The sequence below is a fragment of the Homo sapiens genome, chromosome 6 (genome assembly GCF_000001405.40).
Source record: "Homo sapiens chromosome 6, GRCh38.p14 Primary Assembly".
Lineage (NCBI taxonomy): Eukaryota > Metazoa > Chordata > Mammalia > Primates > Hominidae > Homo > Homo sapiens.
This window is the reverse complement of record NC_000006.12, coordinates 84,203,151-84,218,554: the sequence shown is the minus strand read 5'-3', so window position 1 is coordinate 84,218,554 and position 15,404 is coordinate 84,203,151. Positions and strand designations below refer to the sequence as shown.

General features: G+C 36.3%; 1 protein-coding gene across 11 annotated transcripts in view; it reads left to right on the top strand.

Annotated features, from left to right (window-relative positions):
• Nucleotides 1-15,404, top strand: part of CEP162 (centrosomal protein 162) — a 103,394-nt gene that overhangs the window by 9,089 nt on the left and 78,901 nt on the right. For 9 of the 11 annotated variants that reach the window (XR_007059227.1, XM_005248674.5, NM_014895.4 and 6 more), the window contains 4 exons: nt 2,633-2,779; nt 3,090-3,273; nt 5,531-5,598; nt 14,459-14,574. Coding sequence is in view for 10 of the 11 variants with exons in the window: in XM_005248674.5 (XP_005248731.1) it covers nt 2,633-2,779; nt 3,090-3,273; nt 5,531-5,598; nt 14,459-14,574 (515 nt within the window). In the remaining variant the exon portion in view is untranslated. Of the gene's footprint in view, nt 1-694; nt 757-2,632; nt 2,780-3,089; nt 3,274-5,530; nt 5,599-14,458; nt 14,575-15,404 lie in introns of all 11 variants that reach the window. The other 2 variants (NM_001286206.2, XM_047418387.1) reach the window with 1 other exon arrangement.

Genomic DNA, 15,404 nt, shown 5'->3' with positions numbered 1-15,404 from the left:
AATATTAAAAAGCAAAAAACAAAAATAAAACATTACTCATAATTATTTACCTTTTCCATATATCAGTTTTTTACAACAAACATATACTATTAAAATAAGGAAATTTTGATACTGTATAGCTTTACCAGTTTTTTCTAGTGCTCTTGGAATACAGAGCAAGACCCTCTGCTGGCCTATGAGGACGAGCACGGTCCAACCATTGACTTCCTGCTCTGGGCTTATTTCCTCTTAGGCTTACGCTCACCATCTGGGTCCAGCCTCACTGGCCTTTTTGCATCTGCAAATGTGGCCTGCCCCTCCCATTGTCATGCTTCTGTACCTACTGTGTCCCCTGCCTGTTCTGGTCTCCCTGGCCTAGTTCACCTAATTATTTCCTGGTCTTTCTTCACATCTTAGCAGAAATGTTACTTCCTCATGGAAATATTCTTGGATTTTCCTGTCTTGGTATACCCCCCCAATTAATCTTATATAATTCCTTCAAAGCAGAGTTGTAATTCACATTTAACTTTGCTCTGTGAATACTGCTGCTTCTCTGGTAACCTCCAATGGTTACTGTTTTCTTTGCCACGTCTCTTGTTCCATTAGACTTGGAAAAGGAGTAGGTTATTGTTCATTGCTGTTTCTAGACCGTTCTTCCAATCTCCTTATGAACCTTGCTATCAGACCACCTATCTACTGTGTCTCTTTGTTGCAGTTATCTACTGAACTCCGGGTTATTCCTCCTCATTCCTCAAAGATTTTAGCTGCTGTTTCACTGTGAGTCTCCAATTCTCTTGTCTAATTATTGGTGACTACATTAACTACATAGCTAATGCCTCTAATAACCTGACTTCCGAGTTCCTTAAACTTGTTTACACCAAAAAATCTTGCCTGCCACATCATAGCCACCTCTTCCCTCTAATAGCTTCTCATTTCACTTGTTATAAAAGCTAATGACCTTTAAGCTACCACCCATGCCAGTCCTGCACCCTGACGTTTTTGGCCTCCCAACTTAGACTACCTTTCTCTTGCTTATGCCCGTATCACTACACTGGCCTCCTTTCTATTCACACATGCCTGGGCATTTTCCTGGCTTAGAGGCTGTACACTGCTTTCCTCCTCCTTAAACACTCTTCCCCCATGTATTCATGTGGATTGGTCCCTCACCCCCACCAAGCCATAGCTCACGTGTTAACTTCTCAGTGAAAGCCTTCCTGACCATCCTATTTAAAGTTGTAGTACCCTCCATTCCTGCATTCTCTGTTCCTCTTTCTTGTTTTATTTTTCATCTTGGCACTTAACTGTTTTCTAATGTACTATTTAATTGCAATGTGCTTACTTATTTTACTTATTGCCTGCCTCAAATCACATGAATAAGCAGGGATTTTTGTTTTTTTTTATTCACTGATAAAGCCCCAGCATTTAGAACAATGCCTGGTGTGTAGTAGGCACCCATAAATATTTGCTGTTGATTGTCTCCTCCTGTTAGATTTTAACCTTCGTGATGGTAAAGGACTTCATTGTATAGCTGGCACTAACAATGTTCTAGGTACATAGTTTGTCAAAAAATTTGAATAAAATAAGTAATACTCAGAACCTTTGCTACATAAACATAAGTTATACTTTTTTACCCAGGATTCATAGAACATTTTTGAAACTTTTTATTATAAAAAAATTCAAACATATACATAAGTACCACATACTCCCATGTACCCATTGCCTAGCTGCAACAGTTGTTATTAACTCATGGTCAATCATTTTTCATCAATATTCTCTCTTGTTCTCCACTTTCTGACACTCAGGATTATACTGAAACAAATCTCCAACAGCATATCAATTCTCTCCACATATATTTCAAAGTATCTCTTAAAATAAATACTCTCTTTTTAAAATATAACCATAATAATGTCTAAGAAATATCTATAATAATTTCTTAGTATCATCAAATATCTAATCAGTCATAAAAAACTTTTAATATGCTTAATATATATTAGCCTTAGAGAAAATTTCAAATTCCTGAATGCTGTGAGAGACTATAATACCCTCCCGTCCCCAACAGTATGCACATAACCTGGCATGAGAACCTCTCCTGCAGTGAGCCACTGATTCCATTGTTTTAGAAATAATGACTTTGAAAGAGCTTTTACTATTTCCATCTATTTTTTGAAATGATATTTACACTAACGAAGGCTTCTGTCTAACCTAGTAGGTTTTTAATTGTACCTACTTTGCCACCTTGTATTTTGTTATAGTAATTCATGCCACCCACAGTCTATTTCCAATAGTGTTAAGAGTTCAGCACCAAAAACTCTCTGAGAAATGTAAAGAACAGAGGGAATAAGGCAGAAGATACTCTTTGAAGTGTCATGGTATACTGTATTAAGTACTTGTAATTACTTCAAAGTAATTTTAAAAAATTTTGTCTCATGGTGCAACTCTTTGAAGTATTCTATTTAATATGATACAGTGCCACCAAATAGAATTATAATCTTTCTTTTGTGAGTGTTAGGTCTGATGGATTTTTATTTAATAGAGCAGATTTATTTTATAGCTACTGTGCACAAAATTAGCATAACATTATTATTGTGTTGTCATAGTGGCCAAAACAATTCTTTGAACATAAATCTTCATCTGTATTAAATTGTGTACCTAGGACTTCTTGGAACAAATGTGAGCTATTTGAAAACAAAGAAGACTTCTCAGCCTGTTATGGAAATAGAAGAGGAGTCTGCTGAAAAGATTCAATTTCTTAAGAGCAGTGGAACCTCTCTCTTAAGTACTGATAGCTTAGAAACAAATGGTAAGAAATGCAAGGGATATGAGTTGGTAAATTATTAATTGTTATGCTTATATTCAGAATTACAAAAATTATCTTGAAGCCTCCTTTACTGAAGCATGTAGACAGATTTAATATCTTCCTAGAGGTTTAGAATTATTCTAGAGAAGCTTTAAACCTTACGTATTATTAATATGAATTCATATTTGGTGAGTGAGAGTAAATATTTGTAAAATTTTTAAAATTTACTACATAATGTCAATAAATGCATCATTCAAATCAATGTTTTCAAAATTCTGTATATTACTAAAATATATTTGTGCTTTCCATTTAGAACTAGTAGTTTCTGAGCTCAACCATAGTAGTCTCGGAGTGGGATTGGACACATTAGAAGAACAAGAGGAGAAAGAACAATTTTTTGCCAGGCTTGAGAAAGGCTTGACATCTTCCATTGATTATTCGAGATTAAATAAGGAATTGGATTCTAATGACTCTACACATTTTAAAGCTTTACATAGGTAAAGTACAGTGTAAACTATTAATGATTTTTATGATTTCTATGTTTTTGGAAGGCTGATATATGTGTGATTTTAAATAGGTAAACATTATAACAGGCAAACTTAAATCTTATTTTTTAAATCTATTATCTGTTCATTTTATAGTTAGGGTTTTTCTTATGTGTGAGTAGAATATGTTTCTTGGTATTTGAGAGCCCATGCTGCCTCCACAATCTGAAATTTCATGCTATTGAGACTAATAGTACATTGCCAAGAAGTCCTTACTAGGAAAGTCATTTATTAATTCATTTTCCACAGACAAATAAAGAGAGTCCAGGTTACCATTATAAACTCAGGAAAAAAAATAACAGAAAGGGAAGTGGGAACCAAGGAGCAAAGACAAGTTTGATCTGTGTCTTAACCTCTGTATGGTTGGCCCTGATGGTTATCGGGAAACCTCATTTATTCTAGAAATCCCACTAGTTCACTGAACTGGTCCTCTCTTTATTACACTAGACCATTGCCATTCTCAAGACCTTTGAAACCTGAGGTCTTTAATGCCCTTATTTAGTTATCCATGTAATTCTTAAAATTATGAATGGAAAGAAGATCATAATTTTATTTAGGATTTTGAGATCACAAAGGTATAATTAAGGGTCAGGAGAATCATAATCTCTGATTATTAGAGTGCCTAGGCTCTGCAGGATGGTTAGTTTTTTATAGACAGTGGATAAAGAAATGCATTTACCTTCATGAACTTTGCGGGGTCTGAGATTTTTACCCTACTTGGCAAGCTAACAAGCTAGCCTTCCGGTTTTATGATGTTGACAATAGACAGAAGATTCCTGGATCAGAATTAAAGAACAAAGGCAGTACCTGAGTGTCGCATTTGTTCGCATTGGTTCCCCATGCCCTATGATTATGCTGAGGGCAAGTCAAAGGATCCATAATGGATGTATTCACACACAATGGGCTGTGTTACAGAAGAGGAACACTGAGCTTGGAAAATGTATTACTTTTTTTTGAGACGGAGTCTCGCTCTGTCGCCCAGGCTGGAGTGCAGTGGCACGATCTTGGCTCACTGCAAGCTCCACCTCCCGGGATCACACCATTCTCCTGCCTCAGCCTCCCGAGTAGCTGGGACTACAGGCGCCTGCCACCACGCCTGGCTAATTTTTTGTATTTTTTAGTAGAGAAGGGGTTTCACTGTGTTAGCCAGGATGGTCTCGATCTCCTGACCTTGTGATCCACCTGTCTCAGCCTCCCAAAGTGCTGGGATTACAGGCATGAGCCACCGCGCCCAGCGAAAATGTATTACTTTTATAGTAAGTGGAAACAAGCCTGCTCTTTGTTTGGTCGGAAATGTTACCCAAATGGCATGGTGAAAAATGATCAGCATCTTGTACTCTTGGCATATTCAGCAAGAATGTGCAGGGACACTCAGGGCCTATGGTCATTGCCTCTCCCAACGTTGTCAATACAGATTAAGCATGCGCGGGTTTGTGGGCCACAACTTTTTGCCACTTTGCTACATTTTTTAACTTTTTTCTTATTTCTTAACAGTATTCTTATCTATTGATATTTCTGCTGTAGAACAGGCCGGTCAAAGTACAGAATAGCATTGAACATGCAATATTAGGTGTTTGTAGCTCTCATCATTATTATATAGTCTTATAGTTTCTCTAACGATCTCACTAAATAGGGTTGATAGACTGAAAAGGTAGAACTGATTCTTGGTTTGAGAGAAAGCAGTATATGAACTAATACATCCAATATAATTAAATCATACTCAAGCTCCTTTGTCCCCTTGCTTAGGTTTTGTTTTAAGGCTCCTATTCAGCTTCTGTTTCAGGATTAAATTGCTTATTAGCATGTAAGTGCTGACCTTAGCATTTTTTTTCTGGCTTTCATATGGACTTCACTGGTTCTCATAGCTTGTGGTCAGTTTCTAATCTTTAGTGTAGAAGGGATATCTAGGGTTGTAAGATAATATTTGTACATGTAAATGCACATAGTAATAAAATTGTGTATATTTAAGAAATAGGGCATCTTTTTCCTTTGTATTACTTTTAAACTGCAATTAATCAAATGCTTCGAAGATGCTTTATTTTCAAAACGTTTTCCTTAAAGTTCCCAAATTTTTAGCTTTTGATAGAACAAAAGGACTTGAGAGAGGACATGTATAATTTTAGGGATTTTTTAAAACGGTATACAGAAAGAGTTGCATGAGAATATGTTTTTAACATGTAATGCTAAATTAAATAAATATTTTTTCCAGTAATCAAGCCAACGCAGAACTAACTGATGACGAACATGAGAATGAATCGAAACATGAAGAACTGGCAGGTAATTTCATTGGTTCTTAAATTTATAATATTTGAAAAGATAATATAGCTTTTAATAAAGACATTAATAAGAAAAATAATTAAAAGGAAAATCATATTGTCTCAGAGCTTTGAATAGAGTGGGTTTGCCTGTGTTATAAACTGAGCTGCTAAGAAATTGTTGAAAGTGAACTGCCTTAAAAAGGTTTTTTTCATAGACTGCATATAGCTGGTTTTAGCATTTTTGTTCAATCTGACAGTCTCTGCCTTTTAATTGATGTGTTTTTACCCTTTACAGCAGTGTATTTATTGATATAGTTGTTTACGGTTTTGCCATTTGTTTTCTTTTCATCTTCTTGTTTTTGTTGCTTTTGTCCTTCCTTCTATTGTATTACTTATAGTATTCCATTTTATTCTTATTTTGGCTTTTTAGCTATTCTTCTTTGTTGTATTTTTTTCTTAGTTGCCCTATGAGTCACAATATATGTCTACCTTATCACAATCTACTTTCAAATAATGTTATATCACTGTATTTATATGAACTCTAACAACAATAAACTCTCCTCAACCATTTTGCTATTTTTGTCAACGTTTTTCTTCTACATGTCTTAAAAACACCACAGTGCATTATTATTATTGTTGTTAAAGCAATCAATTATCATTTAAAAGTACTTTTAAGGAATATAATAGATATTTATGTAAAAATGTGTATTTATCCATATATTTACCATTCCCAGTGCTTTGTATTCCATTGTGTAGATTTGAATTTATCTCAAATTATTTTTCTTCACCACGAAGAGCCTCCTTTCACATTTCTTGTAGTGCAGGTTACTGCTAGGAACAAGTTCTCTCAGCTTTTGTTTGTCTGAAAATATACTCTGCCTTTGTTTTTGAGGAATACTTTTACTTGATACAGAATTTTATGTAGTGTTTTTTTTTCCTTCGGGCAGTTTAATGATTTTATTCTATTGTCTTTTGACCTTATTTCTCATGAGAAGTTTCCGGTAATTCCTATTATTGTGATTTTGTATATATCATGTATTTTTTTTCTCTATTTTCAAGGTTTTATCCTTTTTTTTTTTTGGCAATTTGACTATGGTGTATCATGGTATGCTTTTCTTATATTTATTCTGTTCAGAGTTGGTTGAGCATCATTGATCTATGGATTTATAGTTTCCATCAAAATAAAAAATATTTTGGCCATAAATTCTTAAAATATTAATAATAATGCTGCTTTCCGCTTCCTGCCCTCTGACCCTAATTATGTTAGAATGCTAAGCTTTGTTTTATGGGTCACTAAGACTATTCCATTTTTTAAAAACTTTTTTTCTTTCTGTGCTTCACTGTTCACAATAGAACAGTTCCTATCACTGTTCTTTTGCTTCAAGTTACTGGTTTTTTTCCTTTCTTTAATCTGCTATTAATCTCTTTTTTTTTTTTTTTTTTTTTTTTGAGATAGAATCTTGCTCTGTCAGCCAGGCTGGAGTGCAGTGATACCATCTCGGCTAACTGCAAGCTCCGCCTCCCGGGCTCATGCCATTCTGCTGCCTCAGCCTCCTGAGTAGCTGGGATACAGGCACCCACCACCACACCTGGCTAATCTTTTGTATTTTTAGTAGAGACGGGGTTTCACTGTGTTAACCAGGATGGTCTTGATCTCCTGACCTCATGATCTGCCTGCCTTGACCTCCCAAAGTGCTGGGATTACAGGCATGAGCCACCATGCCTGGCCCAATCCCATCCTTTTTTTTTTTCTTTCACTCTAACAGTTCATTTTGGATCTTTGTTTTAAAATTCTTTAGCATTTTTCTTCATTATGTTCATTTTTTTCAAGTCCTTAATATTAAACATATTTTACAGATCTCAGTATTTGTTCATTTCTGTGTGTCTTTTCTGTTGGCTATTTAGTTTCGTGACACTTTTTCCTGCCTCTTAGAAGTCTAGTAATTTTTTATTGGATATTGGGTATTGTGAATTTTATGTTATTCAGTGTCTGGATTTTATTTTCTTCTTTTAAAGAGTATTATTGAGCCTTGTCTGGTAAGTAGTTGATCCTACCACTTGATTTTTTTCAAGGCTTTTCTTATGCTTTGTTAGCAGAAGTCTAGAGTAGCTCTAGTAACCTCTAACCCTACTGCTAAGGCACATCCCAATGCCCCTAGTGATCAATGAGGTCTCTCCACTTAAGCAGATTAGAGTTCAAAAGTCTCCCTGTCTTGTATGAACTGTGAGAATTGTCTAACTTACAGCATCCCACTTGTTCTTGGCTCATTTTATGCATTAACAGCTTAGTATTCAGCAAAGACTCAAGGGCACCCTATGCAGATTTCTGGGGCTTTGTTTTCACTTAGGCACCTCCTCTCTTGATTACTGTCTTATATTTTATAAATTGCCTCAGCCTTTCTGAACTTATCTCGCTCTCCTCTACTCAGTGATACTGTCCCAATCTCCCCGCCCCTGCTCACTACTTCAGAACATATGTGCCTTCAGGTAATTGTAGGCTAGCTCACTTGTTTTCTTAGGAATCACATTTTTTTGCTGCCAGTTGTCTAATATCTGAAAATAGTTGTTTTATATATTGTGTTGTTTACAAAGAAAGTACAATCCCTTTAACTCCAACATGGCAGAGGAGAAAGTCCTCTAGATTGGCAAAAAATTAAAAATTTGCAGCTAAGTTTGCCAACAAAAGATGAAAAATGTCTTCCAAAAGGTTCTTTTACAATTCATATGGTTTATCTGAGCTTTAAGAACATTTTTATTTCTCAAAATAACATTTTTGAAGTTACAAGGATAGAGAATCATAGAAACCCAGTAACTTGAATATGTAACATCTACCTGCGAAAAAGGTCAGAGTGGTACAAGTAAATATTCTGATTGTTTTCCGAACAATGTGGAAGAGTCTAGATATTATCTCTGATGTTTCTCATATAAGAATCACCCTCTCAAATTTGTTTTACTCTTTCATTTTTATATAAACTTAATTTGCCTTGATGTTTGTTCCTGAAATCTCTGACATGTGCTGTTTTCCTTTTCTTTGTTTCTCGTCTCTCATTTGTCTCTGTGTCTACTAATGACACTTCCTTCTTACTTCAGACGTACTTTATTCATGACAGGTTTCTGGGGAGGAAGTCAGTCATTCATGTACTGGATGCTAGTATTTGCCTGTAGGCTGCTTAGTTACTAAATGAAAATAATAAAATGTAGTTTTGATGAATGCTTATTAGATTGGCACTTTTCCCAATCAGAAATCATACTTGGCTGTATTAACTTTTGATTTAGATTAAGTACAGCAGTAGCTATAATAGGCCGGGTGTGGTGGCTTACACCTGTGATCCCAGCACTTTGTGAGGCCAAGGCGGGTGGATCACCTGACATCAGGAGTTTGAGATCAGCCTGGCCAACATGGTGAAATCTGTCTCTACTAAAAATACAAAAAATTAGCCGGGCGTGGTGGCGGGCACCTGTAATCCCAGCTACTCAGGAGGCTGAGGCAGGAGAATTGCTTGGACCCAGGAGGCAGAGGTTGCAGTGAGCCGAGATCGTGCCATCGCACTCCAGCCTGGGCAACAAGAGCAAAACTCCGTCTCAAGAAAAAAAAAAAAAAAGTAGCTATAATAATATTAACAGCAATAATTACTATAAACATTATAGCTAACACTTATATACAGTGCATATTACATATCAACCACCGTTCTGAACACTTTAACTCTTAATCATCTCATTAATCTTTTGAGAAAAGTACTATTATCCCCAATTTACAGATGGAAAAAGTGAAGCAAAGGGAGTTTGTGGCCTGCCAGTGGTTCTACAGCTGAAAGTAGTGGAACCGGGAATTGAATTTAGGCCTTCTGGCTCCAGGTCATGCTCTTAAGCACTATGCCATACTGCCTGAACTGTTTCTAACACTTTCTTTATGCAGTCACACACACACACCACAGCGCCTCCTATTAGTTCCCAAATCCTAAGTAGTTGTCCAAGTTCAGTGTCATATTCTCCCATATCTCCTCTTTCCTTGTTCATCATCTTTTCTTAAGCAAGTCTAATCTCGAGGGTCACTTAAAATTCGGTGGTTCCCACCTAGACTACTAAAGTCTTAATCAACTTGTATTGTTCACAGCACTTAGAAGTGTGCCTAATACAAAGTAATTACTTATAACTATCTTGTGATTTTAACTATATGTCTACTGATATTAGAAAATCCCAAGCAGTGTTCTTTCTCATGTGGAAGAGAAACAAAAGTGAACTTCTCAGCCTCAGAATACAAATATTGACATAGTTAACCAACTAACCTAGTTTATCTACCTAAGTTACAATACACATGCTGTTCCAAGCTCATATTTCTTATGAACTAAAATGTAGATGTTTCTGTAGCCAGATCTCACTGGAAGCATCCCTGTTTCACTCCCAAACCCTCTCAAATTCATTTCTTCACTTCCAGTATTAATTACACACAAGTTGTCGTCTTCGTCTTCATTCTAACAAAAGAGTAAAAAACAGCCATTCCAGAAGTAGACTCTAGTACCTTATGTAGTCTTTTTCCCATCAAGCCATCCTGTTTCTCAGTGTGATGCAGTTTTTTGAAATACAAATTAGATCATGTTTGTTTCCAAAATGATCAGTTCCACTCTGAAAAGGTGTTCCCCTTTTATAGCTACAGATCTAAATTAATACTGTGAGCAAGTTAAAAATTGAGGAAGAGATCCTGGCCAAATAATTCCTGTCCAACCTTCCCCATAAGTAGACTGAATGCCTCAGTTAACATGGAGACACTTTTTCCTTCTGCACAAAGTCATTGAGATATAATTTGGAGGCTTCAGATAAGAAGCACTCAGGATTGGGAAAACAGCAAAGGTTGTATAAGGCCAGTATTTACCTAAGGGAAGGGTCAGAGATCTTTCATAAGTACTAGTTAAGACTTACAGTAGAGATACCTGTAGAGACAAAAAAAAAAAAAAAAAATCAATCAACCTGAAAAACAAAATCCAACCTTTTTAAAAGTGGCAAGATTTCACAAAGGTCCTTCCTTTTATAAGTAAGCAATTGGTCATGTTTGTCTTTTAAAAATAAATATTAAAGTCTTATTTTAAAGGTAATTCAAGATTCTTTGGGCAGCTCTAGAAATTTTTATTTGGTTAATAATATAAAAGACTAAAAATATAAAACTCAGAGAACTATTTGAAAGTACCATAATGACAGAAACCAAAGATAGTCTTATAAATTGAACTCTCATTAAATGTTTGCAAAAGAAAAAGTTCTTTTTTTTTTATACTTTAAGTTCTAGGGTACATGTGCACAACGTGCAGGTTTGTTACATATGTATACATGTGCCATGTTGGTGTGCTGCACCCGTTAACTCGTCATTTACATTAGGTATATCTCCGAATACTGTCCTTCCCCCCTCCCCCCGCCCCATGACAGTCCTCAGTGTGTGATGTTCCCCACCCTGTGTCCAAGTGTTCTCATTGTTCAATCCCCACCTATAAGTGAGAACATGCGGTGTTTCGTTTTCTGTCCTTGCGACAGTTTGCTCAGAATGATGGTTTCTAGCTTCATCCATGTCCCTACAAAGGACATGAACTCATCCTTTTTATGGCTGCATAGTATTCCATGGTGTATATTTGCCACATTTTCTTAATCCAGTCTATCATTGATGGACATTTGGGTTGACTCCAAGTCTTTGCTATTGTGAACAGTGCCACAATAAACATACATGTGCATATGTCTTTATAGTAGCATAATTTATAATCCTTTGGGTATATACCCAGTAATGGGATCGCTGGGTCAAATGGTATTTCTAGTTCTAGATCCTTGAGGAATTGCCACACTGTCTTCCACAATTGAACTAGTTTACACTTCTACCAACAGTGTAAAAGCGTTCCTGTTTCTCCACATCCTCTCCAGCACCTGTTGTTTCCTGACTTTTTAATGATTGCCATTCTAACTGGTGTGAGATGGTATCTCATTGTGGTTTTGATTTGCATTTCTCTGATGACCAGTGATGATGAGCATTTTTTCACATGTCTGTTGTCTGCATAAATGTCTTCTTTTGAGAAGTATCTATTCATATCCTTTGCCCACTTTTTGGTGGGGTTGTTTGATTTTTTCTTATAAATTTGTTTGAGTTCTTTGTAGATTCTGGATATTAGCCCTTTGTCAGAGGAGTAGGTTGTGAAAATTTTCTCCCATTCTGTAGGTGGCCTGTTCACTCTGATGGTAGTTTCTTTTGCTGTGCAGAAGCTCTTTGGTTTAATTAGATCCCATTTGTCAATTTTGGCTTTTGTTGCCATTGCTTTTGGTGTTTTAGACATGAAGTCCTTGCCCATGCCTATGTCCTGAATGGTATTGCCTAGGTTTTCTTTTAGGGTTTTTATGGTTTTAGGTTTAACATTTAAGTCTTTAATCCATCTTGAATTAATTTTTGTGTAAGGTGTAAGGAAAGGATCCAGTTTCAGCTTTCTACATATGGCTAGGCAGTTTTCCCAGCACCATTTATTAAATAAGGAATCCTTTCCTCATTTCTTATTTTTGTCAGGTTTGTCAAAGATCAGATAGTTGTAGATGTGTGGTATTATTTCTGAGGGCTCTGTTCTGTTCCATTGGTCTACATCTCTGTTTTGGTACCAGTACCATGCTGTTCTGCTTACTGTAGCCTTGTAGTGTAGTTTGAAGTCAGGTAGCATGATGCCTCCAGCTTTGTTCTTTCTGCTTAGGATTGTCTTGGTAATGCAGGCTCTTTTTTGGTTCCATATGAACTTTAAAGTAGTTTTTTCCAATTCTGTGAAGAAAGTCATTGGTAGCTTGATGGGGATGGCACTGTATCTGTAAATTACCTTGGGCAGTATGGCCATTTTCACGATATTGATTCTTCCTATCCATGAGCATGGAATGTTCTTCCATTTGTTTGTGTCCTCTTTTATTTCGTTGAGCAGGGGTTTGTAGTTCTCCTTGAAGAGGTCCTTCACATCCCTTGTAAGTTGGATTCCTAGGTATTTTATTCTCTTTGAAGCAATTGTGAATGGGAGTTCACTCATGTTTGGCTCTCTGTTTGTCTGTTATTGGTGTATAGGAATGTTTGTGATTTTTGCACATTGATTTTGTATCCTGAGACTTTGCTGAAGTTGCTTATCAGCTTAAGGAGATTTTGGGCTGAGACAGTGGGGTATTCTAAATATACAATCATGTCATCTGCAAACAGGGACAATTTGACTTCCTCTTTTCCTAATTGAATACCCTTTATTTCCTTCTCCTGCCTGATTGCCCTGGCCAGAACTTCCAACACTATGTTGAATAGGAGTGGTGAGAGAGGGCATCCCTGTCTTGTGCCAGTTTTCAAAGGGAATGCTTCCAGCTTTTGCCCATTCAGTATGATATTGGCTGTGGGTTTGTCATAAATAGCTCTTGTTATTTTGAGATACTTCCCATGAATACCTAGTTTATTAAGAGTTTTTAGCATGAAGGGCTGTTGAATTTTGTCAAAGGCCTTTTCTGAATCTATTGAGATAATCATGTGGTTTTTGTTTTTGGCTCTGTTTATATGCTGGATTATGTTTATTAATTTGCATATGTTGAACCATCCTTGCATCCCAGGGATGAAGCCAACTTGATCGTGGTGGATAAGCTTTTTGATGTGCTGCTAGATTCGGTTTGCCAGTATTTTATTTTGCATCCATGTTCATCAGGGATATTGGTCTAAAATTCTCTTTTTTTGTTGTTGTGTCTCTGCCAGGCTTTGGTATCAGGATGATGCTGGCCTCATAAAATGAGTTAGGGAGGATTCCCTCTTTTTCTGTTGATTGGAATAGTTTCAGAAGAAATGGTACCAGCTCCTCTTTGTACCTCTGGTAGAATTTGGCTGTGAATCCGTCTGGTCCTGGACTTTTTTTGGTTGGTAGGCTATTAATTATTGCCTCAATTTCAGATCCTGTTATTGGTCTATTCAGGGATTCAGCTTCTTCCTGGTTTAGTCTTGGGAGGGTGTATGTGTCCAGGATTTATCCGTTTCTTCTAGATTTTCTAGTTTATTTGCTTAGGGGGTGTTTATAGTATTCTCCGATGGTGGTTTGTATTTCTGTGGGATCGGTGGTGATATCCCCTTTACCATTTTTTATTGCATCTGTTTGATTCTTCTCTCTTCTTTATTAGTCTTGCTAGCAGTCTATCAATTTTGTTGATCTTTTCAAAAAACCAGCTCCTGGATTCATTGATTTTTTGAAGCGTTTTTTGTGTTTGTATCTCCTTCAATTCTGCTCTGATCTTAGTTATTTCTTGCCTTCTGCTAGCTTTTGAATGTGTTTGCTCATGCTTCTCTAGTTCTTTTAATTGTGATGTTAGGGTGTCGATTTTAGATCTTTCCTGCTTTTTCTTGTGGGCATTTAGTGCTATAAATTTCCCTCTACACACTGCTTTAAATGTGTCCCAGAGATTCTGGTATGTTGTGTCTTTGTTCTCATTGGTTTCAAAGAACATCTTTATTTCTGCCTTCATTTCATTATTTACCCAGTAGTCATTCAGGAGCAGCTTGTTCAGTTTCCATGTAGTTGTGCGGTTTTGAGTGAGTTTCTCAATCCTGAGTTCTAATTTGATTGCACTGTGGTCTGAGAGACAGTTTGTTATCATTTATATTCTTTTACATTTGCCGAGGAGTGCTTTACTTGCAACTATGTGGTCAATTTTGGAATAAGTGTGATGTGATGCTGAGAAGAATGTATATCCTGTTGATTTGGGCTGGAGAGTTCTGTAGATTCTCTAAAGACATCTTTATGTTACTATTTCAATAAACTATTCTTATACAGACTTCTTCCTTTCGAAATCAACAGCCTTTTCCTGGAATTTGACTTTTTTAACAATGTGGTCTTTGTACTTTTAAAAATTACTTTCTTCAGAAAATTACAGTGATGATTTTGAAGATGAGTATGTTGGTGCACCGTTGACTACTAAAGATGAAGAGATGCCTTCCAAAGAGAATTCCAAATCAGAAAAAATAAGTGTGCCCAAACAGGTATATATATCAATTATATATTTGACAGTTTTGCAACTTTTTTCTCAACCTGGCTGCCTATTGCTATATGAAGAGCTCAAAAAATGGAGTTCTTCATAATCTTGCTTATTGTTGTAAACTTACAGGTCTCCTAATACTCAGTTAAACATTTTCTTAACTCAAGATATTAAATTAATGTAAATCTTAATGAAAAAAATTACGACAATTAATGATTTTATGAGAGATTTTTGGCCAGGCACAGTGGTTCATGCCTGTAATTTCAGCACTTTGGGAGGCTGAGGCAGGAGGACTGTTCGAGCCCACGAGCTCAAGGACAACCTGGACAACATAGTGGGATCTCATCTCTCCAAAAATTAAATTTTTAAAAAATTAGCAAAGTATGGTGGCACATGCCTGTAGTCCCAGCTACTTAGGAGACTGAGGTGGGAGGATCACTTGAGCCAGGGAGGTCAAGGCTGCGGTGAGCTGTGATCATGTCACTGCACTCCAGCCTGGTTGATGAGTGAGACCCTGTCTCAAACAAACAAAAAAAGATTTATTTTGGCAAATAAGTTAAGCTTAAGTTAAGCTTTAGAAATTGAAAGCTTAATTAAAATTTCAAAACTAATTTTTAAACAAGTATGTTAACTTATACTTTTTCTTTGGTATGACTTGCCTTTATGAAGTATAGTAAATGTCCTTCCCTAATAATTATGCTAGTCACAACATTAACGTCTGAAACTTACTTGGCTAAGATAAGGAACTACATGATTCCATTCACATTCAGTGGTGCTTCATACTCTAATTCTCACATTTCCCAGTTCTTACCAAGAATTGTTCAGGGCTACTAC